Source organism: Homo sapiens, chromosome 11 (genome assembly GCF_000001405.40).
Source record: "Homo sapiens chromosome 11, GRCh38.p14 Primary Assembly".
In the NCBI taxonomy this organism is placed as follows: domain Eukaryota; kingdom Metazoa; phylum Chordata; class Mammalia; order Primates; family Hominidae; genus Homo; species Homo sapiens.
In genome coordinates this window covers 46845021-46867445 of record NC_000011.10, presented here as the reverse complement: position 1 = coordinate 46867445, position 22425 = coordinate 46845021, and the positions used below count along the sequence as shown (strand labels likewise).

Below are 22425 nucleotides of genomic sequence, written 5' to 3'. Positions count from 1 at the left end.
AAAAAGAACAACTTTAAACAGAAATCACTTAGGAGGACCCTCCCACGTGGTATTCCTCCTTCTTCTCTCTGTGACATTTGCTCTCACATCATAGGTTTGGCATATTGGCTTGTCCAACAGTAGTCTCTGGGCTGTGGCTTTATGACTTGGAACAAAAAGGTTTCCCCAGAGATATGATGGCCTTAGCTTATAATGTCATGTGCACCCCCCCGCAACACACACACACACACAAACACCATTATGAAATAAGCAAGCATAAACACGAACAGTTCTCAAATCAAGTATAAAGTATCTTATTTCATTAAATTAAAGGTGCTATTCATTATAAAATGCTTCCTGATTTGAGAAATTAAACTGAAAAGATAACCAACAGCAAATGTGAAATGCTATTGATTGTAAGTCACATGCCTGTTTAAGAGATGGTAGGCCATAGAAAAAACAAACATCTTAAAATTGATTAAATATGATGTTACATTCAATTCAGAGACATTCTTTTTTTTCTTTTTTCTTTTTTTTTCTTGAGACAGGATCTCACTCTGTCACCCAGGCTGGAGTGCAGTAGCATGAACACAGCTCAAGCTCACTGCACCCTCGACCTCCTGGTTTCATGTGATCCTCCTACTTCAGCCACCCAGGTAGCCGGGACTATAAATGTGTGCCACTATGCCTGGCTAATTTTTTGTACTTTTTGTAGAGATGGGGCTTCACCATGTTGCCCAGGCTGGTTTTAAACTTCTGGGCTCAAGTGATCCACCCGCCTAGGCATCCCAAAGTGCTGGCATTACAGATGTGAGACACTGCACCTGGCAAAAAATTCTAATGACTGTGTTTTCCATTTATATTTTATAAAAAATAATCTGGGCCAGGCGCAGTGGCTCATACCTGTAATCCCAGCACTTTGGGAGGCCAAGGTGGGCAGATCACATGAGTCCAGGAATTCAAGACAAGCCTGGGTAACATAGTGAGATCCTATCTCTACAAAAAAGTTTTTTTTTAATTAGCCAGGCATGGTGGCCCATGCCTGTAGTCCCAGCTACTTGGGAGGCTGAGGTTGGGAGGATTGCTTGAGCCCAGGTTTAGGCTGCAGTGAGCTGTGATTGTGCCACTGCACACCAGCCTGGGTGACAGACTGAGACCCTGTCTCAAAAAAAAAACAAAAAACAAAAAATAAATAAATAAATAATCTGGAAATACATATGTGAATAAAGAAGAAGGGAATATCCTATACCTATATATAATTTACTCTTAATGTTTTGATGTCTATCTTTTCTAGACATTTTTCTAATTAGAACAGTTTTTTTTTTTTTCCACTGCAACATACTGGTCTCTTTATTTTTAATATCATCAGTAGCTTACAAGGTAGTTAACACTTGATTTCAATTCTGAAAGCAGAAACATAATAATGATCCCAAATAAAAACTTTAGACTCAATGTCCCTAAAGTTACAAGATTTGCACATGATCAAATTCATATGCTGTGTGCCCCCATTCTCTGTTTTTACTACAGTTTGTAAAGAAAAGGAAACACCCAGGTATAAACATGTGCCTTTCTCACTAACTTTTAAGTACTATCAGTCATTATTACTCTCGGATTTTCTTTAGGTTTATTTAGAAAACTTTTGACCCCGCTCGGACCTTTTCTTATTGTCAGAGTTCTATTTGAAAATTCAGTGCATCTTGGTTCCAAATGCTCTTGCAAGTAGCTTTCCTCTGGCTGTTTAGGAGATGCCTTTGATTGCCTGCTCATAATGTACCACAAAGAAGTCACCTTCTGAGCATTTCAAGTTAGTTATCTGAGCACTCCCTCTGGATGTCTTGCATATTCCCTTGTGAAAGAATGAAGAGAAGAAAAACATTTTTTGACCTTGGGATATTTAGCTCTTGTGATAATTTTTATCCAATCAGATTGGCTTGGCTAGCAGCTGCTTCTGACTCATCCTGGTAGTTTAAGAAAGCCTAATATTGATGTCCTTAGTATTCTTTCTGCAGACTTCCAACTCACTCCCAAACCTGCTTCTCATTTTTAAAGGTACATATTTTATAACACACTTAAACATGGTATAACGGCTTGAAAACAGTGCCTTGCACGGATTTCTCTCCATTTCCTGTTGTTGCCCTCTCCATGCTTCTGATGTCTTCCATCTTGTACATTCTCATACCTGAAAGCCCCCACTTACAGGCCTTTCCCCCTTTCCTGGAGGAAGGCATGACCTTCACTGAGTATGAGTAGGCTTCACATCCAGTTTTCTGTGCCCCACAGATGCTCTGAAAGGGATGCCAGGCTGGGCCTCTGTGCACGTTCCAATGACGCTGTTCCTGCTGCTCCAGGTAAGCCCTGAGTACCCCACTGTTCCGGAAAAGAAGATGTAATGAATCTAAGTCTCCACTGATATCTTTCATAACCTTCATTGGGACTCTGGGGTTGATGAACTCTTTTTAAACTAAGTCCATAGAAATAATAATCATAATAGCTCTCACCACTTACAGTGACAGCTTATGGTATGCTTTCCGTATGCCAGGCATGTGATAAGCCATATATATGCCACATTATATGTGTGTGCACATGCATATATACATACTCTCATGTAATTTCCTCCAGTCCTATGAGCAATTTATTATTTACATTTAACTAAAGAGAAAATGTAGGCTTACAAGTTAAGCATCTTGCCTTATGTCAGATAGCTAGGAAGTGGTCGAAATGGGATCAGAGATGCTGGCAGAGTGACAGATTTCTTCTCAGCCTCCTCCCTGCACCTCCCATTTACCTATCTGAAAAGGAGGCCCTTAGCCATCCTCAGATGGTATGGGGTCCAACACCTACAAAAGGAGCCTTTCAGCTTTCCATTCCTCACACCAGCACCGCTAGAAAGTTGTCGGTGGCCCCTGCCTAGTGTTTCTCTATTCTTCCTAGGGGAAGGACTTCATATCAGCTACGCCATTGGTGGACTCCTCAGTATTCTGCTGATTTTGGTGGTGATTGCAGCTTTGATGCTGTACAGGTAACTTCAGTCTTGCTACAGGGGCCACATGCTCATTGGTCTTCATGAGCATGTCTGGGATCTCCCGAAGCTCTGCAGTTCACTGAATCAAGCTCTGACCAGCCTTATTGCAAGGTTGGGTGCCTGGTCAGGGCAGCAGAAGGAAAGGGTGGAAACCTAAATACTTACTCTTCTCCAGTCACAGCCTAAGCATTTTCCTTATTGAATGACTGTAACAACCCTTCGGATTTTCTTTATAGACTAGGATGCTGAGTGCACAGAGGATATTACCCAAGGTCACAAAGTAAGAGGCAAATCTAAGACTGACTCTTAACATCTTTGCTTTTTCCAGTACTCCCTGCTTCAAACCACTGAAATTGGAAATGATTTTCCCCTTATACAAACACAGCCTTTTACTACAATATTGGTTTGTACATCTTTGCTCAGTAGCAATCATTCTGGAAAGGTAGAATGTGTCATTTATAATCTTTTTATGTCCCTCTTTCTTTATATTTTCCCCCAAATGCTTTAAACGTAGCTTACAGTTTGCTGCTGTTGTTCTTCATCATCATCATCGTAACAGTTACCATTAATGGATATATATCAATGTCATGACAACCTCGTAACACAGGTATTATTATTCCTCACTTTACAGATGAGGATCTGAGGCTCAGAAAGTTTATTTTTTTTAATTTTTGTCTTATTTTTTTGAGATAGAGTCTCACTCTGTTGCCCAGGCTGGAGTGCAGTGGTGCAATCTTGGCTCTCTGCAACCTCTGCCTCCTGGATTCAAGCAATTCTTGTGCCTCAGCCTCCCAAGTAGCTAGAACTACAAGCATGCACCACCATGCCCAGCTAATTTTTTTTTTTTTTTTTTTTTTTTTGTATTTTTAGTAGAGAGAGGGTTTCTTCCATGTTGGTCAGGCTGGTCTCGAACTCCTGGCCTTGTGTGATCTGCCCACCTCAGCCTCTCTAAGTGCCAAGATTACAGGTGTGAGCCACCGCACCCAGCCAGAGAGTTTAGATTATATCTATCAAGGTCCCAGCTAATAAATCACAGAGGTGGAATTGAAACAGATCTGTCTGACTCTAAAGCTCAGTGCATCAGTTCTCCATTGCTGCATAACAAATTACCCGAAAACTTAGTGACTTAAAATGACAACCATTATCTCACAGTTTCTATGGGTCAGAAATCTGGATGCAGCTTAGCTAGGTGCCTCTGCCTCAAGGTGTCTCACAGACTGCAATCCAGATATCAGCTGGGGTTACAGTCTCATCTCAAGGTTTGACCGGGGAAGGATCCCCTTCCACACTCACTCACATAGTTGTTGGTAGGATTCAGCTCCTCATAGGCTGTTGGCTGGAGGCCTTCCTCATTAGTTTCTTGCCTTGTGGGCCTCTCCATAGGACAACTTACAACATGGCAGGTTGCTTCTCCCAGAGCAAGAGCAAAAGAGAATGAGGGAGGGCAACTCAAGACCAGAACCAGTTTCTTGGTAACCTAATCTAGTAGCCATCACATTTGCATAATCTTTTCATTAGAAGTAAGTCACCAGAACAGTCCACACTCAAGGGGAGGGGATTCTTAAGGGCATGAGTACCAGGAAGTGGGAGTCACTGGGATCATCTTAGAGGCTGCCTACCAGACTCAGTTTACAGCTTTCCCAGGTATCATCCCCTTAAAGATCTCGACTAATTTCTCATCACCTTCCCTCCTAAAGACACAAAAAATCCAAGTTCACTGATCCTGGAATGGGGAACCTCACCTACAGCAACCCCTCCTACCGAACATCCACACAGGAAGTGAAGATTGAAGCAATCCCCAAACCAGCCATGTACAACCAGCTGTGCTATAAGAAAGAGGTAAAAATTGAAATTTATATTCAAGGGTCTTTTTGGCGAGGTGTGGGGAGGGATTTTACTCCAAATGCCCAAATAAGTCAGTAACGGCTGCTGAGTAATCCCATCTACCATTTTGGAAGTTATAGTGAACAGAAGAACTGAATGTAATTTGGGTTTCTGGGAAGTTCTAGAATCTCTGAGGGATTAGTTTGAGGGACCTTAGTGAGAGCCAGGTTAGAAGGCAGATCTCAGAAGATTTAGGTCTGAAAGCAGTTGCCCTGCCATGAGATATTTTTCCAAGCTTATAGGTTCTTTCCCTCCAGGAACTGTCATTCCCCTGCAAAAGGCTATGTGCTTCTGAAACAAGGGAGCTCTCCCAGACAACACCCAAAAAACCCAAGAGCTCCTGGACTCGCCCATTACTAACCTCCAGTCCAAGCTAGTAGCACCTATGGTTGGGAATGGCTTGTTTTTCACTATTCTTCCTCTTATCACAAAAATTTCTCTAGAATTCTGAAGGTTTACCTGCTTTTGCTTTTTTTTTTTTTTTTTTTTTTTGAGACAGAGTTTCGCTCTTGTTGCCCAGGCTGGAGTGCAATGGCACGATCTCAGCTCACTGCAACCTCCACCTCCCGGGTTCAAGTGATTCTCCTGCCTCAGCCTCCCGGGTAACTGGGATTACAGGCATGCGCCACCATGCCCGGCTAATTTTGTATTTTTAGTAGAGACAGGGTTTCTCCATGTTGACCAGGCTGGTCTTGAACTCCTGACCTCAGGTGATCCACCTGCCTCGGCCTCCCAAAGTGCTGGGATTACAGGCGTGAGCCACTGCGCCCAGCCTGCTTTTGTTTGTTTGTTTTTTTTTAACTTCTTTGTCACTTCAATGGAAAATTATTTGCTCAATGTGAAGGCATGAAAAATAGTCCCATTTCAATGAGCTGGTTGTGGTGGCTTGTGCCTGTAGTCCCAGCTACACAGGAGGCTGAGGTAGGAGGATCACTTGAGCTCAGGAGTTGGAGGCTGCAGTGAGCTGTGATCATGCCACTACCCTCCAGCCTGGGTGACAATGAGACCCTGTCTCAAAAAAAAAAAAAAAAAAAAAAGTCCCATTTCCACAAGGAAACTAACTATACCTGGTATTTCAGATTTTCCTAATCCAATATAAGCCTTGTTTTTTTCCTAAAATCCTGTAACTCTTCATCAGAAGTTATTCCTTATGAAGATCCTCATCAGTCTACTTCTTTGGCCTATCTAGCACAGTCAGAACCTGCTCTCACACCTGCAGGGCTCTCATGTGTAATAAACACATTTCACATAATAATCATGTGCTTTCTGGATCCATGAATTCCCGTATTTAAATAGCTTCCACTACTTCTGGTTCAAGTTGGTGTTTGAAAAAAAAAATTGAAATTAAAAATTTTTTAAAAGCTTCTACTGCAGTCAAAACAGAATGTGCAGGGATGGCTTGTAGTTCTAGGAATGGTAGACCCCTCCCCAATATCTTTGAGAGAAAGACTCTTGAAGATTCTTGGGTTCCTGGAGTATCTGATGCTCCAGAAAAGAACCACAATGAAGGCCACAGGATAGCAATGAAAATAGTGTGACCTCTTTCTTCTGTTGTGTGTTTCTTCCTCAGCAGCTCTTTCACCCCTCTGATAGTCTTTCACCTTTTCTCTTCTGATTTCCTCTTGATTTCAGGTACCTGTTGCTGTGTGTTTGTAGAGGGAGTGGTGTTTCCCAAATTGCAAGTGCCATATCCCCCACCTCTCCCTAACTTACCCAGCGTGTCTCTTAATTAAGACATTGAGTGGTCTGCATCTTATACTAATTTCATCTTGGAGGGTGTGCTGGGTGAACAGACATCTGTGTGTTTGCTTGTGTGCTATGTCCCACTCTGCATGGCTGAGGGGACTGTCACTCTCAGAGGGCAGGGACCATGTTTTATATTGTATAATCATCAAAGCACCTAGCACAGTCTTCTGCTTAACATAGGGGCTCAGTAAATATCTGTGGAATTGAATTGTTACAAAAATAGAGCCACAGCCACAGTTGCAGAACTCTTGGCAGGAATACTATCCCAGGGACAGAACCCAAGATGATCCATTTTCTTCTAGCAGTGGTGGTATGTCGGTTGGTATACCCCAGCAGCCAGGAGTGAGGCTGCTCTTTGAAGAAGCCATAAAGGGAGAGGCCCGAGCAGAACTCCAGGCTGTGCCTGGAAGAGTCCCAGGTTTTGCTTGGGAATGGTCCCAGGACTCATGGCAGCAGAGCGAGAGTAACCTCCCAAAAAAGGTTATAAGTTGCAGGACCCCACTATATTGACGTTTAGGACCCAGATAAGAAGATTTCCTTTTTTTTAGTTTTTTTTCTTTCTTTCTTTCTTTTTTTTTTTTTAATGGAATCTTGCTCTGTCACCCAGGCTGGAGTGCAGTGGCATGATCTTGGCTCACTGTAACCTCAGCCTCCGGAGTTCAAGGGATTCTCCTGCCTCAGCCTCCCAAATAGCTGGGATTACAGGCACCCGCCACCAAACCCAGCTGATTTTTGTATTTTTAGTAGAGATGGGGTTTCACCATGTTGGCCAGGCTAGTCTCGAACTCCTGAACTCAAGTGATCTGCCCGCCTGGGCCTCCCAAAGTGCTGGGATTACAGGTGTAAGCCACCACGCCCGGCCAGATAAGAGGATTTTCTAGAGTCCCCTGTCTTACCTCCCAAGTTTTCTCCTTAACAAAATTAGAAAAAAGAGATACAAACTAGCACCCGAAGTAGCTTAAAATCCTGAATAAATGTACATTTAATTGCTCTTGCCAATTGCTTTTGATGATTTATATCAGCATGATGTCCCATTAATAAACCACAGTAACAATGTAACATAGCTAACATGTTATAGTGCATCTTGTGTCAAGCTCCCTGATAACTGCATTCCATGTATCATCTCATTTAAGGTGACAGCAGTTGGTTGTGAGGTGTGGATACTGTTACTCTCCTCACACTGCAGAGTCTTAAGAGACTGAGTTTTAGAAATGTGAAATAATTTGCCTAAGGTGACAAAGCCAGTGAGTGGCTGCTGCAGGACCGGAAGCCATGGTTTTCCCTCCTCCTGTATGGTAATGGTAATAATTATCACAGCTGCCTCTCCCCTTTTAGGCTAGGCCTCATACACTTGTCTTAATCACATTTCCCCATTTGTTTGTGGGATTTTTGTGCGCTTCACTCCTACTCTTACCCCATCCACTTCCTTTTTCAGTTTACCATGGGATCCTTTGTAGAAGGCCAACTGACTGACCATATCTGCCCACTCTCCACCCTAGGGAGGGCCTGACCATAACTACACCAAGGAGAAGATCAAGATCGTAGAGGGAATCTGCCTCCTGTCTGGGGATGATGCTGAGTGGGATGACCTCAAGCAACTGCGAAGCTCACGGGGGGGCCTCCTCCGGGATCATGTATGCATGAAGACAGACACGGTGTCCATCCAGGCCAGCTCTGGCTCCCTGGATGACACAGAGACGGAGCAGCTGTTACAGGAAGAGCAGTCTGAGTGTAGCAGCGTCCATACTGCAGCCACTCCAGAAAGACGAGGCTCTCTGCCAGACACGGGCTGGAAACATGAACGCAAGCTCTCCTCAGAGAGCCAGGTCTAAATGCCCACATTCTCTTCCCTGCCTGCCTGTTCCTTCTCCTTTATGGACGTCTAGTCCTTGTGCTCGCTTACACCGCAGGCCCCGCTTCTGTGTGCTTGTCCTCCTCCTCCTCCCACCCCATAACTGTTCCTAAGCCTTCACCGGAGCTGTTTACCACGTGAGTCCATAACTACCTGTGCACAAGAAATGATGGCACATCACGAGAATTTAGACCTGGATTTTACCATGAACCTCACATCTTGTACTCCATCCTGGGCCCCCTGAAACTGCTTATTCGTGATTCCTCACCAGCGTAGAGCTCCACCTCCCCTTTCCCCAGTACCCTCAGTGCCTGCTTCTCAGTGCTGATGCAGCTGATGACCCAGGACTGCGCTCTGCCCCATCACAGCCAGCATGACTGCTTCTCTGAGAGAACTTGCCCATCAGGGGCTGGGACATGGGGGTGTGGGTAAAGACAGGGATGAAGGATAGAGGCTGAGAGAAGAAGGAAGAATCAGCCCAGCAGGTATGGGCATCTGGGAAACCTCCAGCCTCAAGTGTGTTAGTAACATGAAAAAGCTTTGGGGGGTAGTTGGATCTGGGTGTCTGGTCCATTGCTGGCAGTGGACATTATTCTTGCCCTAAGAGACACTGCCTTTTCAGCAGCAGATACTGGTGAGATGGGGGTGGCTCAGGCTGTTCTTCCTCCTCCTAGAATGTCTGGAGCTGTTTCTACATTCAGATAACTGGGTCCCCTATCACAAGGCTACTGGCTAATAGGAATTCCCTCCTGGTGCCACCACTGGCCAGTACCTTTCCTAAGTCTTTGCTCAAATTAACCAGGTTGTGAGCCAGTGGCTTGAGTGAATGTTAGGCCTTGGGGGCTGAGTCTCTGAAAAGTCTAAGAAGCTCTGCCTAGACCAAATATGGTATACCTCCTGACCCCTCTCTCCCTCATGTCCTGGGATTCTGGGGAAGAGACCTAGAAACAAGCTTTCAAAGAAAAACCAGAAGTTGTCATAAATGGTCAGAAAGAACGATCAGGTTGGAGACTTGGGAAACCCAGGGCCTAAAGAGAAGTATCCATGAGGGTCAAACTTCCTGTTGAACTTCCTATGTTCTTTCTCAAGTGCTCAGGGATCTAAGTTAGTGGACAGCAAGCCTGTGGCTACGGGGTGGTGATGTTCCTCTTCCAGCTGTCCCCTCAGCTAAGGGGCTTAGTTTCCATGTGGGATGCCATCACTTGGTTCATGCTCATTCACACAAAGGGCACGTGTCTCAGCCTGGTATCAGGGAAATTGAGACTTATTTTTGCCCTAAAACGTCTCCCTAGCTGTTCTTCGTGGGGTTTTTTTGTTTGTTTTTTTGCCTAATTTGCTTTTTCTGACCAAGCCTTGTGGCACCAGCAATCTCCAAAGTCCTGTGGTGGGAGGGCTGAATAAATAAAAATACAAAGAGGTGGGTAAGGAGTAGGAAGGTAGAGAGCACCACTGATGAGGCCCTCCTAGCCCATGGCAGACCCAGACCTCTTCTCCCCCAGGAATTAGAAGTGGCAGGAGAGAACAACAGGGGCTGGGAATGGAGGGGAGAATTTCTAGGGGAAGTTTCCTGAGTTGAAACTTCTCCTGTGGTTACTGGTATTGAGAAATCAGCTACCAAAGTGAAAAAGGACAAGATCAATTCTTTTCTAGTCAGTTCTAAGACTGCTAGAGAGAGATACCAGGCCCTTAGCCTTGCTCTCAGTAGCGTCAGCCCCAGTTCTGAGCCTCCCCACATTACACTTAACAAGCAGTAAAGGAGTGAGCACTTTGGGTCCTTAGACTCACGTCTGGGGAGGAAGAGCAAGTAGAAAAGTGGCATTTTCTTGATTGGAAAGGGGGAAGGATCTTATTGCACTTGGGCTGTTCAGAATGTAGAAAGGACATATTTGAGGAAGTATCTATTTGAGCACTGATTTACTCTGTAAAAAGCAAAATCTCTCTGTCCTAAACTAATGGAAGCGATTCTCCCATGCTCATGTGTAATGGTTTTAACGTTACTCACTGGAGAGATTGGACTTTCTGGAGTTATTTAACCACTATGTTCAGTATTTTAGGACTTTATGATAATTTAATATAAATTTAGCTTTTCTTAATCACCTTGCCTGGCTTGGAGTCATGACTAATCCTGCACCTGCTCTGTCTGGCAGACCCATGCTGTGGAAAACCTGCTTACAGACATCACTTTTAAGTCCTTTGTGGATGTGGGCACAGTGAAGAGCAATAAAGAGTGTGAGGTTCCTGCTGGAGTTTTCAGCTCATCTGGAGAAGACAGGTCGAGGCCAGAGTTCCTTGACTGATGAAACCTTTATTTCCTCTGGAAGAGGAATGGTAGATGGGTTTCCTCTTGAGTGCTGACTCTGACTGGTTGGTAGTGGCTGCCTGAGGGCCTATTCGCACCCAATGGGAAGAATGTCATATGGCTAGTGACATCTCTTCTGTGCACTGGAAGGAAATGTCATGGCATGTATACCATGTATCTTCTATTTCTGTTCTAGGTCTTTGTTACAGAACTTTACTTTGCCTTGCAGTGATGGTCACTGGCAAGACTATCTCATGTAGTAAGAAAAGTACTGGAGCTGGGGACATGGAGGGCTAATTCCAGTCCCAGATCTGCCACTAGCTCTGTTTGATCTTAGTCAACTTTCATAGTTAGTCTGAGAGTGGATCAAATTATCACTAGGATTTCATTTATTTTTAAAAGCTGTCTTTTCATAGCTCATCCACTACTTCTCAAGGCTAGAACAAGGAGCTAGGGATCCCTTCTCAGGTTCTCTGGATGTGATATCCCTCAGTGAAAACTGGGAATCATGTTAATCTCAACGCCCGATGTAGAATTTCATGTCAAGTCTCAATAGTTGATTTTCTAAACCACACACCATCTATAGGATAATATCCCCATTCATTCATTCATTCATTCATTCATTCATCTGCTATGGGCTAGGCACTGCCCATGCCTAAACAAAGACATAATCTTACAGAGCTTAGAGTCTAGCAACACCATTACCACCACCATCCCAAAAAAAGACAAAAAATGAAAGTAAGAAAGACTGAAGCTTCTTGTATTTAAGTGACCAGAGATCTGAGTATAAGCTACAGTGTATAATTTTTCTAACTGTAGTAAGGAGTAGGTGTGCCAGAACAAAAACAAGTAGAATAGCCCAAGGATAACCATCCCTCCAACCCCCACTGTTCTCTTTGGGAGGGAAAAAAAAAGCAGAAAAGGAGGACATCTTGGGATAAAACAAAGGTTGGGAATTCCTTGTCTAGTTCTCTGGTATAAAATCTGAAACTAGGGTCAGGCACAGTGGCTACACCAAAGTAATCTCACCACTTTGGGAGGCCAAGACAGAAGTAAGGAGTATTGCTTGAGGCCTGGAGTTCACGATCAGCCTGGGCAACATGACAGGACCATATCTCTACAAAAAAATTTAAAAATATTAGTCAGGTGTGGTAGCTCATGCCTGTAGTCCCAGCTGCTTGGGAGGCTGAGGCAGGAGGATTGCTTGAGCCCAGGAGTTCAAGGTTACAGTGAGCTATGATCACGCCACTGCATTCCATCCTGGGTAACAGAGCAAAACCTTGTCACTAAAAAAACAAAACAAAAAAACCCTGAAACTGATAAGTGAGCAGATGGTGGGTCAAGTTCTAACAAACTGGCCATATTTTTGCAAACTCACTCAAAATACAGTCACGGTCTGTCTATGGTGTATGAACAAACTGTGGAATCTAAAATGAAAGGATCTCTGGCCCATAGAAAGGACTCTGGATAAACTGAAGCTGTCACCAAACGTAGGCCTAAATTCAATGCATAGGAACTCAGAGGCAGCATCTACAAAAGCTGAGGGTGCACAGGTTTCTAAGTGGGTTCTAAGAGGGTTCTAAGAGGACCCAGTAATGCACTGATATCCAAGGTTATCCAGGGTCTCGCTCTGTCGCCCAGGCTGGAGTGCAGTGGCACAATCTTCTGCCTCAGCCTCCCAAGTAGCTGGGACTACAGGCGCCCACTGCCACGCCCAGCTAATTTTTTGTATTTTTAGGAGAGACGGGGTTTCACCGTGGTCTCAATCTCCTGACCTTGTGATCCGCCCGCCTCAGCCTCCCAAAGTGCTGGGATTACAGGCGTGAGCCACCGCACCTGGCCCTAAGTTGTCTGGTTTCTATTTATGGACATAATGATAAAAGAAATGTGGCTGAGTCCTTTTTATGGCTACGAAACAGTCTGTAATATATCTTTTCTTCAAATGTGAAGTTGAGTCGACTGATTCACTTAATAGGATGTGTGTTTTGGGATGTTTTTAGGCACTCTTTGTTTTGAAACATTCCCTCATCTGCCTACTTATTTTCTCTCCACACCATTCTCCCGTTAACCAGCTGCAGAGGCTAGCAGAGCTCAGCATAGGGAATAAAGTTTGATGTCTAGTCAAAGCTCCAACTCATAACTTTGGTCTCCTTGACATGGTGTTAAAACAGACCCAGACAGCCTAATTAAGGGTCATAGTTTAAACCCAAGGCTAAGTTAGCCACAAGCTACACAATCTGCTTATTTCATTTTATAAGACACAAAGAGCCAAGAACTTTCACGTATCTTGCTCTTCCTGATGGTTTTCCCTCCAGGCCCTAAAAGCCTGTTGATAGTCTTCTAATGAGGTCCCTATCTCTCCCTTCTCCCTCCTTCCTCTTTGGTGGCGCTGATGCTTCTGTGGTCAAAGTTCTTGGACAGCCTACATTTTGGGGGCTATGGAAAATGAATATGAGAAAAGAAAAAATAAAGGCTATTCATTCCTTCATTCAACCAGCACCTACTAAATGCAATCAAGTGCAAGCCAGGGTAGGCTTTGCAATCCTGGAAGACAGTTAAGGCACTAAAACCCACAGCCACTTGAAATCTGTATTAATGTCACCACTGCTATCTCCAGGGAAATAATGCAGAGGGCACCTGCATTGAAAGTTGAAGGAAGCTCATCACTGAAGCTGCTCCTTTTAGGCTGGAAATATGGATACATATCCCATGGTAGGGATGCTTCAACCAGAATTCAGCTTGTGATTACAAAAGAATGAGCACTGTCTCAACCCTAACAGGCTTTTCAGAAATGCCCAGCACAGTTATTCAGCAGCCACAGTATTTGACATTTGTTTCCTGTTTTCAGTTGCAAAAATACAGCATTCACTTTGATCTCTAATGCCCACAAGGGCTTCACTGCCCTCAGAGGGCAGTATGTTCATAAATATACTCCTTATGTAAAAGGACTACTGAGAAGACCCTGGAATAAAAGCACACGTAACTCCAATAAATACACAGATAAATGCTATTTGATGATAATCCTAGAAGGCAAAAGATGACTGGGCAAACATTTATTGAATACCTACTACGGGCAAGGTACTGTATAAGATTTCTACAAGGCCTTGTGGGATCTGCCAGTCCTCACCCCCCACTGTTATAAGATTTCTTCTGCTACTACCCCTCTACTGCATGCTACCCTGGGCCAGTGACACTAGCCTCTGTCTTCCTCAAAAACATAAGGCCTTTGCACAGTTGTTGGCCCTTGCTGGCACTTTCTTCCCCTAGATATACTCATGGCTAACTCCTTTGCCTTTAAGTCTTTGCTCAAATGTAATCTCAGTGAAACCTACCCTGACCACCCTTTCATATATAAATATTTTGTTGTTGTTTGTTTGTTTTGAGATGGAGTCTTGCTCTGTTGCCCAGGCTGGATCGTGCAATGGTGTGATCTTGGCTCACTGCACCCTCCGCCTCCCGGGTTCAAGAGATTATCCTGCCTCAGCCTCCCGAGCAGCTGGGATTACAGGCATCTGCCACCATGCCTGGCTAATTTTTGTATTTTTAGTAGAGACAGGGTTTCACCGTGTTGGCCAGGCTAGTCTCGAACTCCTGACCTCAGGTGATCCACCTGCCTCGGCCTCTCAAAGTGCTGGGATTATAGGCATGAGCCACTGCCCCTGGCCTCCTTTTATATACATATATATATTATAGTCAGCTGGGTGTGGTGGCTCATACCTGTAATCCCAGCACTTTGGGAGGCTGATGCAGGAGAATTGCTTGAGTCCATGGGTTTGAGATCATCCTGGGTAACATAATGAGATCCTGTGTCTCTACAAAAAAAAAAAAAAAAAAAAGGTGTTTTCATGCATGCCTATAGTCTCAGCTACTCGAGAGGCTGAAGTGGGACAATCACTTGAGCCCAGGAGGTCAAGGCTGCAGTTGAGCTGTGATCACGCCATTGCACTCCAGCCTGGGTGACAGAGCAAGACCCTGTCTCAAAAAAAAAAAAAAAACAAAAAAAAAAACCAACAACAGAAAGAAAACACAGCCTTTCCCTTGAAATATAAAAATCCTAGAAGAAAACCTAGGAAATACCCTTCTCATTATCAGCTTTGGCAAAGAATTTATGGCTAAGTTGTCAAAAGCAATTGCAACAAAAACAAAAAATGATAAATGGATAAATGGGACCTACCAAAAGTAGAGAGCTTCTGCACAGCAAGAGAAACTATCAAGGGAGTAATAGACAAGCTACAGAATGGGAGAAAATATTTGCAAGCTATGCATCCAACAAAGGTCTAATATCCAGAATCCATAAAGAACTTAAATCAACAAGTGAAAAACAACCCCATTTAAAAAGTGGGCAAGCCGGGTGCAGTGGCTCATGCCTGTAATCCCAGCACTTTGGGAGGCTGAGGTGGGTGGATCACCTGAGGTCAGGAGTTCGAGACCAGCCTGACCAACATGGCGAAACCCCATCTCGACTAAAAATACAAAAATTAGCCAAGCATGGTGGTGGGTGTCTGTAATCCCAACTACTCAGGAGGCTGAGGCAGGAGAACCTGGGAGGCACAGGTTGCAGTGAGCTGAGATTGTGCCATTGTACTCCGGCCTGGGCAACAGAGTAAGACTCTGTCTCTAAATAAATAAATAAATAAATAAATAGTGGGCAAAGGACATGAACAAACACTTTCAAAAGAGATACAAGTGACCAATAAACATATGAAGAAATGCTCATCATCACTAATCATCAGAGAAATGCAAATCAAAACCATGAGATACCACCTTATACGAGTCAGAGTGGCTTTTGTTAAAAGGTAAAAATTTAATAGATGCTAGCAAGGCTGCAGAGGAAAGGGGACACTTGTACACTGTGGTGGGAATGTAAATTAATTCAGCCACTGTGGAAAGCAGTTTGGAGATTTTTCAAAGAACTAAAAGTTGAACTACCATTCGACCCAGTAATCCTATTACTGGGTATATACTCAAAGGATAAAAAATCATTCTACCAAAAGGACACATGTACCCATATATTCATTGCAGCACTATTCACAATAGCAAAAACATGGAATCAACCCTTGTGCCCATCAATGGTGGATTAAAGAAATGTGGTACATATATCATGTAAAACTATGCAGCCATAAAAAAAGAATGAAATAATGTCCTTAGCAGCAGCCTGGATGCAGCTGGAGGCCATTATCCGAAACAAACTAATGCTGAAACAGATAACCAAAGGTTGCACGTTCTCACTTAGAAACAGGGGCTAAACATTGGGTACACAAGGACATAAAGAAGGGAACGATAGACACTTGGGACTACTAGAGATGGGAGAGTGGGAGATGAGCAAGTGTGGGAGTTCAGTCAGGCTGGTGGGAAAATTTTAAGATGAAGTTATAAAATATAGACACAAATCTTCTTGGAAGGCCGGAAGGTTTTGCAAAAGTCTCAGGATAGGGTTATGGCTGAAAGCCGCCTAATCCTTACTTTGAGTAAATAGCTTAAAGTAGATACAAAGGAATGTAGAGTAGTTTATCTGAATAGCTTGTTTACTCATGTGGTCTTAAGACCAATCTTTGATCAACCGGGTGCACAACCGCAGGGGGTGGGGGCGGGGTTGTTGGCAACCAGGTCAATTACCCTCTAGCAGTGTTTACTCAAAACCTTTGTCATTTAATCTATACTGAATAAATGCAAGCTTCGCTGGCTGATGGGGCCGGCTGCTACTCTTTACAGCACCTTCCTTGGTGTCTGTGAGGGGCCCAGACCCTTAGCTGGAGTGACAGGCAGAATATCTGTGTTAGTGTACGTTATTCAACCGTTGTTGGGTCAAGGTCTGTGGGACAGACCCCGGCAAGCAGGGACTGATAAACTACTTACTGTTAGGTACTATGCTCACTACCTAGGTTCAATCATACCCCAAACCTCAGCATCACACAATATACCTTTATCACAAATCTGCACATGTATCCTCGATTCTAAAATAGAAGTTGAAAAATAAAATAAAATTACGGTCTTTCCAACCCCACTTCCCTATCCCTTTACCTAGTTTTATTCTTTTTCTTTTCCCACTGGACATATTGTCTAATAACATACTATATAATTTATTTATGTGTTGATTGTCTACGTTTCCTCACTATAGTGTGAGCACCACAAAGGGAGGAAATTTTGGGGAGTCTATTTTATCTACTGATCATTGCAGTGCCTAGAAGAGTCCCTCCACATAATAGGTGCTGATAAATATTTGTTGAATGAATAAATGAGTAGCATCAGACATCTAATACTCACCTTAAAGTAGGGCTGCACCTAAGTCATCCAAGACAAAAAGGGATTTTGTCATCTTGTTCTAAAACTCTCCAGGACCCGGACTGCACAAACATCCTTTGTTAAGCCAATTCCTGATTACCATCACACCCTCTCCTTAAATGTAATCTTCAGTTTATTTCTGGTAATATTTAAATAAAGTAAATATGCCAATGACCAATGACTGAAGAAAACTATTTCTGTATATCCTCACCAATTTATCCAAGGTTACCATGACCATATTGCTTTCATTCCTTTCTTCTTCTCCTACATGTGGATCTGTCTTCATTGGCCATCCTTTCACTCTCTCCAATCCCCCAATCTGCAGTCTCATTCACTCTATCAATGTGATTCCCAAATCTATATCATTGATTCTGCATCTATTCTTCCAGCTTCCATCGTGTATTTTCTAGGCCTACTCAGATGATTCCATTAGAATGCCTTATTGGTACCTAAAAGTGAACAGGTTGCAATTTAAATGCCTCACCTTCCCCTTGAGACTGGCTTCTCCTGACTTCCTACTTCCATTGGGCAATCAAATCCTGGAATTCTCTTTGACTCACCTCCCTAAATGGGACCCACCCTTGCCTTTGCACCTAATCTAGTCAGTTGCCAAATCTTTCATTCTTTCTTGAATCTGCTCTCATCCTCTCCACTGCTAACACCTCATATCATACTCCTAGCTGGGTTCCCAACTCTAAACCATTTTAGACAATCAAGCTAATTAATTTTCCTAAAGTACAACTCTGATTTTGCCACCCTCTTGCTCAGGTACCTTTAATAGCCCCCCCATTATCTACTTAATAAAGTACCAATTCCATACCCTGGGATTCAAGATCCTTTAGGAATCATTCCTGGCCGGGCACAGTGGCTCACATGTGTAATCCCAGCATTTTGGGAGGCTGAGGCGGGCGGATGGCCTGAGCTCAGGAGTTTGCGACCAGCCTGGGCAACAAGGTGAAACCCCATCTCTGCTAAAATACAAAAAAATCAGCCAGGTATGGCGGCTTGTGCCTGTAGTCCCAACTACTTGGGAGGCTGAGGCAGGAGAATTGCTTGAACCCAGGAGGTGGAGGTGGCAGTGAGCTGAGATCACGCCACTGCACTCCAGCCTGGGCGACAGGTGAGACTCCGTCTCAAAAAAAAAAGAAAAAGAATTGTTCTTAACCTTCTGTGTCAATCTTGTGTTCCACTACTTCCCAACAAAATTTCAGTCCTAAAATCAACCCCACATGTTCAGTCCCATACATACGATGCACTTTGCTGTTTCTGCGCCCTGACTCACACTTTCCCCACTACTCTCTGCTCCTTCTATGAAAGAAAAAAGAAACACACCACGTTAACAGTAAAAATTCATTTCCCTCCCAAGTCCCACTCCTATTAAGTTTCTTATAATTCCAGGAATGTTCTAACCATTTTCAGGCATGCCCTCAAACACACATACGTTTATAACCATATATAATAAAATCATTCCACAAGTTCTGCAACTTGCCTTTTTTTCAATTAATAAAATTTGTGCATGTTTCTGTTCCAGCACATAGATTAACCGCATTCTTTTTAACAGTTTCATAGTGTTCTATTGAATGGATATGTCATAATTTATGTAAAAGGTTCCCTGTTGATGAACATGTAATTTCCAGATTTTTTATTTTTTTTAGAGACAGCGTCTCACTCTGTCACGCAGGCTGGAGTACAGTGGCGTGATCATAGCTCACTGCAGCCTTGACCTCCCACACTCCAGCAATCCTCCACCTCAGCCTCCCAAAGCACTGGGATTACAGGCATGAGCCACCATGCCTGGCCTCCAGATTTATTTTTTTATTTTATTTTATTTTTATCTTAAGCAGTGCTGGCTGGGCACAGTGGCTCACAGCTATAATCCCAACAGTTTGGGAGGCCGAGGCGGGTGGATCACTTGAGGTCAGGAGTTCAAGACCAGCCTGGCCAACAGGTGAAACCCCGTCTCTACCAAAAATACAAAAAATTAGCTGGGCTTGGTGGCACATGCCTGTAATCCCAGCCACTTGGGAGGCTGAGATAGGAGAATCGCTTGATCCTGGGAGGTGGAGGTTGCAGTGAGCTGAGATGGTGCCATCGCACTCCAGCCTGGGCGAGAGAGCGAGACTTCATCTCAAAAGAAAAAAAAAGAAAAAAAAAAAAGGGCCGGGCACAGTGGCTCACGCCTGTAATCTCGGCACTTTGGGAGGCTGAGGCAGGTGGATGACCTGAAGTCAGGAGTTTGAAACCAGCTTGACCAACATGGTGAAACCCCATCTCTGTTAAAAATACAATAAAAAATAATTAGCCGGGCGTGGTGGCAGGTGCCTGTAATCCCAGCTACTTGGGAGCCTGAGGCAGGAGAATTGCTTGAACCCGGGAGATGGAGGTTGCAGTGAGCCAAGATCACGCCATTGCACTACAGCCCGGGTGACATGAGAGAGACTCTGTCAGAAAAAAAAAAAAAAAAAGCCGGGTGCAGTGGCTCACGCCTGTAATCCCAGCACTTTGGGAGGCCCAGGCGGGAGGATCACGAGGTCAGCAGATCAAGACCAGCCTGGCTAACACAGTGCAACTCCGTCTCTACTAAAACTACAAAAAATTAGCCAGGTGTGATGGCACGTGCCTGTAGTCCCAGCTACTCAGGAGGCTGAGGCAGGAGAATCGCTTGAACACGGGAGGCGGAGGTTGCAGTGAGCTGAGATTGCGCCACTGCACTCCAGCCTGGGCGACAGAGCGAGACTGTCTCAAAAAAAAAAAAAAAAAAAGCAGTATTGCAGTAAACATCCTTGTACATTTTTCTTTGCATACTTGCACAGATCTGTACGATAAATTCCTCATAGTGGATTACTGGGCCAGAACTAGATTATGTACATTTTAGTAACTGTCAAATTGTCCTCCTAAAGGTTTGTACCAATTATACTCTTACCAATATTGACTTTGAGTGTCCATTTTTCCAAATCTCTTTATATTTTTAAAAACAGAGATGGGGTCTTGATAGCAAGACCCAGGTTGGTCTTGAACTCCTGGCCTCAAGCAATCCTCCTGCCTCGGCCTCCCAAAGCGCTAGGATTACAGGCATAAGCCATTGCACCCAGCCTGTTTTTCCAAATCTTGACCAACCAAAGGCTGTTGAACTTTTTCATCTCTGCCAACTTGACAATGAAAAAACATGTAATTGTTTCATTTACTTTTATCCATCCTCTCTCCATCTTTTAGCCTGTTGGGAATCTACACATTCTTTAAATCCTAGGTTAAAAATTCATCTTCCTCACAGATCCTCCCCCATCAAATTTCTCCTGTCTCTAAGCATTTATAGCTTTTCATTTATACAGTTATTACACTGCTTTGAATTTTAGTGACTAGTCTGTATGTTATATTCCTCCAACCACTGTAGATTACAAATTCCTTGGAAGTAAGGACCTGAACTCATTCACAGAAACACTGAATGTAGAGCTAAGCTAAAATTCTGGAGATCATGTTAACCAAGCCTCTCGTTTTTATAAGGGAATATTAAGCATTTGCAGGATGCGTTACAGTTCACAAAGGCTTTTCTCAGACATTCTATTAGTTATATTAACTCCTCCATTAAATTGTAAGGGAAACATCGTTATCCCATTTTACAGATAAGGAAACAACTCCAGAAGATTTACTGAGAAAAGTGATTTACTCAGAACAGTTCCAAGGTCAGAATCCAGCATCCTGGCTTCATTCGCTGTTACTTCCACGACATCTCAGCTGCCTCTGGTTTCCCTCACAGCACTTAGCTTCACAATCTCTAGGGAATGAAATGACCAAAAAAAATTGTCGGGTGTTGACAGCAGCCTGAACATCTGTAATTAAATAAAGCAAACATGCTGACGACCAAGGATGCCCGGGTCTACACACATTCTTTCGCCTTTCTTTCTGGAGTCGGCAGACTTGCCCCCGGCAGCGACCAGCGTCCCCACCCGTGCAGGCGGCGTCTGGTCCAGAGGGAAACACGGCTGCGCGCGGCCCCTTTAAGGCTGCGGGCGGCGCGTGCCCACAGGCCTTTCAAATGGACCAATAAAAGTCCGATGGGCGGTCCGTCGAGGACCAATAAAGAACGAGGACACTGCGGGGTGTGCGGCGGCCCAAGCGGTTTCAAACGGCTTAGAGCAGGCCGCTTGGTTCTGACCCAGCTGAGGTGAGTGGTCGGTGGGCCTGCCCCACCCGCGAGGCCCTCGAGTGCAGGCATCGCGCGCGCAGAGGAGCCCCTGAATCCTGGGCGGCTGGAGGTCTCCAGACGCGCGCCCCACTTGCCCCACGAACCCGGCAGGTCTGAGGCGGCGAAGCGAGCCGGAGGCCGGGGGACCTGCGGCGGGCAGGGCCGGGGGCGTGGGCGCTCGTGTGCGGCGGAGGCCGGGGTTGGGCTCCAGGTGGCCAGAGCGCGCCGCAGCGTGGCGCGGGTGGCAGCGTCCGCGGGGCGCGGGCGGTGCAGGGCCGCGCCTGGCGGCAGCGATTTACCAAGACTAGGGCGGGGGCCCCGAGAGCCGGCCCTGCTAGAGTGCCTCTCGCGTAATTGTCAAGTGAATGAATAAGTAAGCGCCTACGAGGGCTGTGGTGGTTGCGAAGGGCCTTGTCGCCCTGGAGCAAGGACAGCGGCACCGGGGCCTGGCCGCACACCTGTGTCCCTGCTGGCTTGCTGCGATGTGAACGATTCCGATCATCCACCACCCCGCCCTTAACGACTGGCTTTCTCTCTCTCAACGTGTCGGGAGCGTTCTGGTGTCCTTCCAGCCCTGGAGGTGTTGGGGAACCAATACAATAGCCAGCAGTGTGGGTTGGGCCTTGCTACTTTAAGGTCGGGCTCGGTGAACTAGATTCTTACTTTTGAGCTCTCCCCTCTACTTGTAATCGTGGTAATTGTTGAGCAGGATTGAAATGCATTCCGTTGTGTTTCTTGGATAGAAAATGATGAAAGGGTTGTTGCCAGAGTGGCTAGTGTGTGTTAGAAAATATATTCGTGTTGATGAATCTTAACAATGAGTTTTTTATTCAGCATCAATAGAGGTTGAAGTGGTTTTTGCAGAACTTGCCCCAAATTTATGCGTGGCTCTAATTTAATTCTCATGGGACCAAGGCATCAAATCTTGGCCCAGAAATGCTGCCTGTCTTATGCATAATTATAGTAATTGAAAACTCATTTTTAGAAAGGTGAGCTCCTCCTTCCTCCATTTTCATCACCCTGAAAAGTCCTTCTTTTGACCTAAAGAGCCAATAAATTAAGCTAAGAATCTTTTGAAACTTTAAGAAATTGTAGAAGACTTTGACTTCTCTGAAGTGACTGGACAAACTGTAATGCTTTTACCAAATTTAATGATATAGATAAAGGTGAAATCAATT

General features: G+C 44.5%; 2 protein-coding genes and 1 long non-coding RNA gene across 7 annotated transcripts in view, besides 4 other annotated features; 2 read left to right on the top strand and 1 right to left on the bottom strand.

Moving 5' to 3' along the window:
• Window positions 1-10729, top strand: part of LRP4 (LDL receptor related protein 4) — a 61834-nt gene extending 51105 nt beyond the window's left edge. For 3 of the 4 annotated variants that reach the window (NM_002334.4, XM_011520103.3, XM_011520104.3), the window contains 4 exons: window positions 2260-2327; window positions 2911-2998; window positions 4699-4840; window positions 8131-10729. In NM_002334.4, the coding sequence (NP_002325.2) occupies window positions 2260-2327; window positions 2911-2998; window positions 4699-4840; window positions 8131-8463 (631 nt within the window). In that variant the 3' untranslated portion in view covers window positions 8464-10729. Of the gene's footprint in view, window positions 1-2259; window positions 2328-2910; window positions 2999-4698; window positions 4841-6455; window positions 6518-8130 lie in introns of all 4 variants that reach the window. The other variant, XM_017017734.2, reaches the window with a different exon arrangement.
• Window positions 1-21035, bottom strand: part of LRP4-AS1 (LRP4 antisense RNA 1) — a 28006-nt gene extending 6971 nt beyond the window's left edge. Inside the window, exons 1-2 of the long non-coding RNA NR_038909.1 lie at window positions 20947-21035; window positions 20729-20836 (exon numbers count right to left, since the gene is read on the bottom strand). This is a non-coding gene — a long non-coding RNA (LRP4 antisense RNA 1). The remainder of the gene's footprint in view (window positions 1-20728; window positions 20837-20946) is intronic.
• Window positions 20772-20891: an enhancer, noted in NCBI's record as "active region_4685". NCBI's record gives its function as "activates an Ori minimal core promoter by ATAC-STARR-seq in GM12878 lymphoblastoid cells {active_cell/tissue: GM12878}" and the evidence as "EXISTENCE:reporter gene assay evidence [ECO:0000049][PMID:35858748]".
• Window positions 21102-21181: a silencer, noted in NCBI's record as "silent region_3316". NCBI's record gives its function as "represses an Ori minimal core promoter by ATAC-STARR-seq in GM12878 lymphoblastoid cells {active_cell/tissue: GM12878}" and the evidence as "EXISTENCE:reporter gene assay evidence [ECO:0000049][PMID:35858748]".
• Window positions 21166-22425, top strand: part of CKAP5 (cytoskeleton associated protein 5) — a 103233-nt gene continuing 101973 nt past the window's right edge. For both annotated transcript variants that reach the window (NM_014756.4, NM_001008938.4), the window contains exon 1: window positions 21166-21226. The gene's annotated coding sequence lies outside the window, so the exon portion shown is untranslated. The remainder of the gene's footprint in view (window positions 21227-22425) is intronic.
• Window positions 21346-21923: an enhancer, noted in NCBI's record as "NANOG-H3K27ac hESC enhancer chr11:46867074-46867651 (GRCh37/hg19 assembly coordinates)". NCBI's record gives its function as "activates a minimal SCP1, AML or CMV promoter by ChIP-STARR-seq in naive H9 embryonic stem cells {active_cell/tissue: H9 hESC(naive)}" and the evidence as "EXISTENCE:reporter gene assay evidence [ECO:0000049][PMID:30033119]".
• Window positions 21362-21511: a silencer, noted in NCBI's record as "silent region_3315". NCBI's record gives its function as "represses an Ori minimal core promoter by ATAC-STARR-seq in GM12878 lymphoblastoid cells {active_cell/tissue: GM12878}" and the evidence as "EXISTENCE:reporter gene assay evidence [ECO:0000049][PMID:35858748]".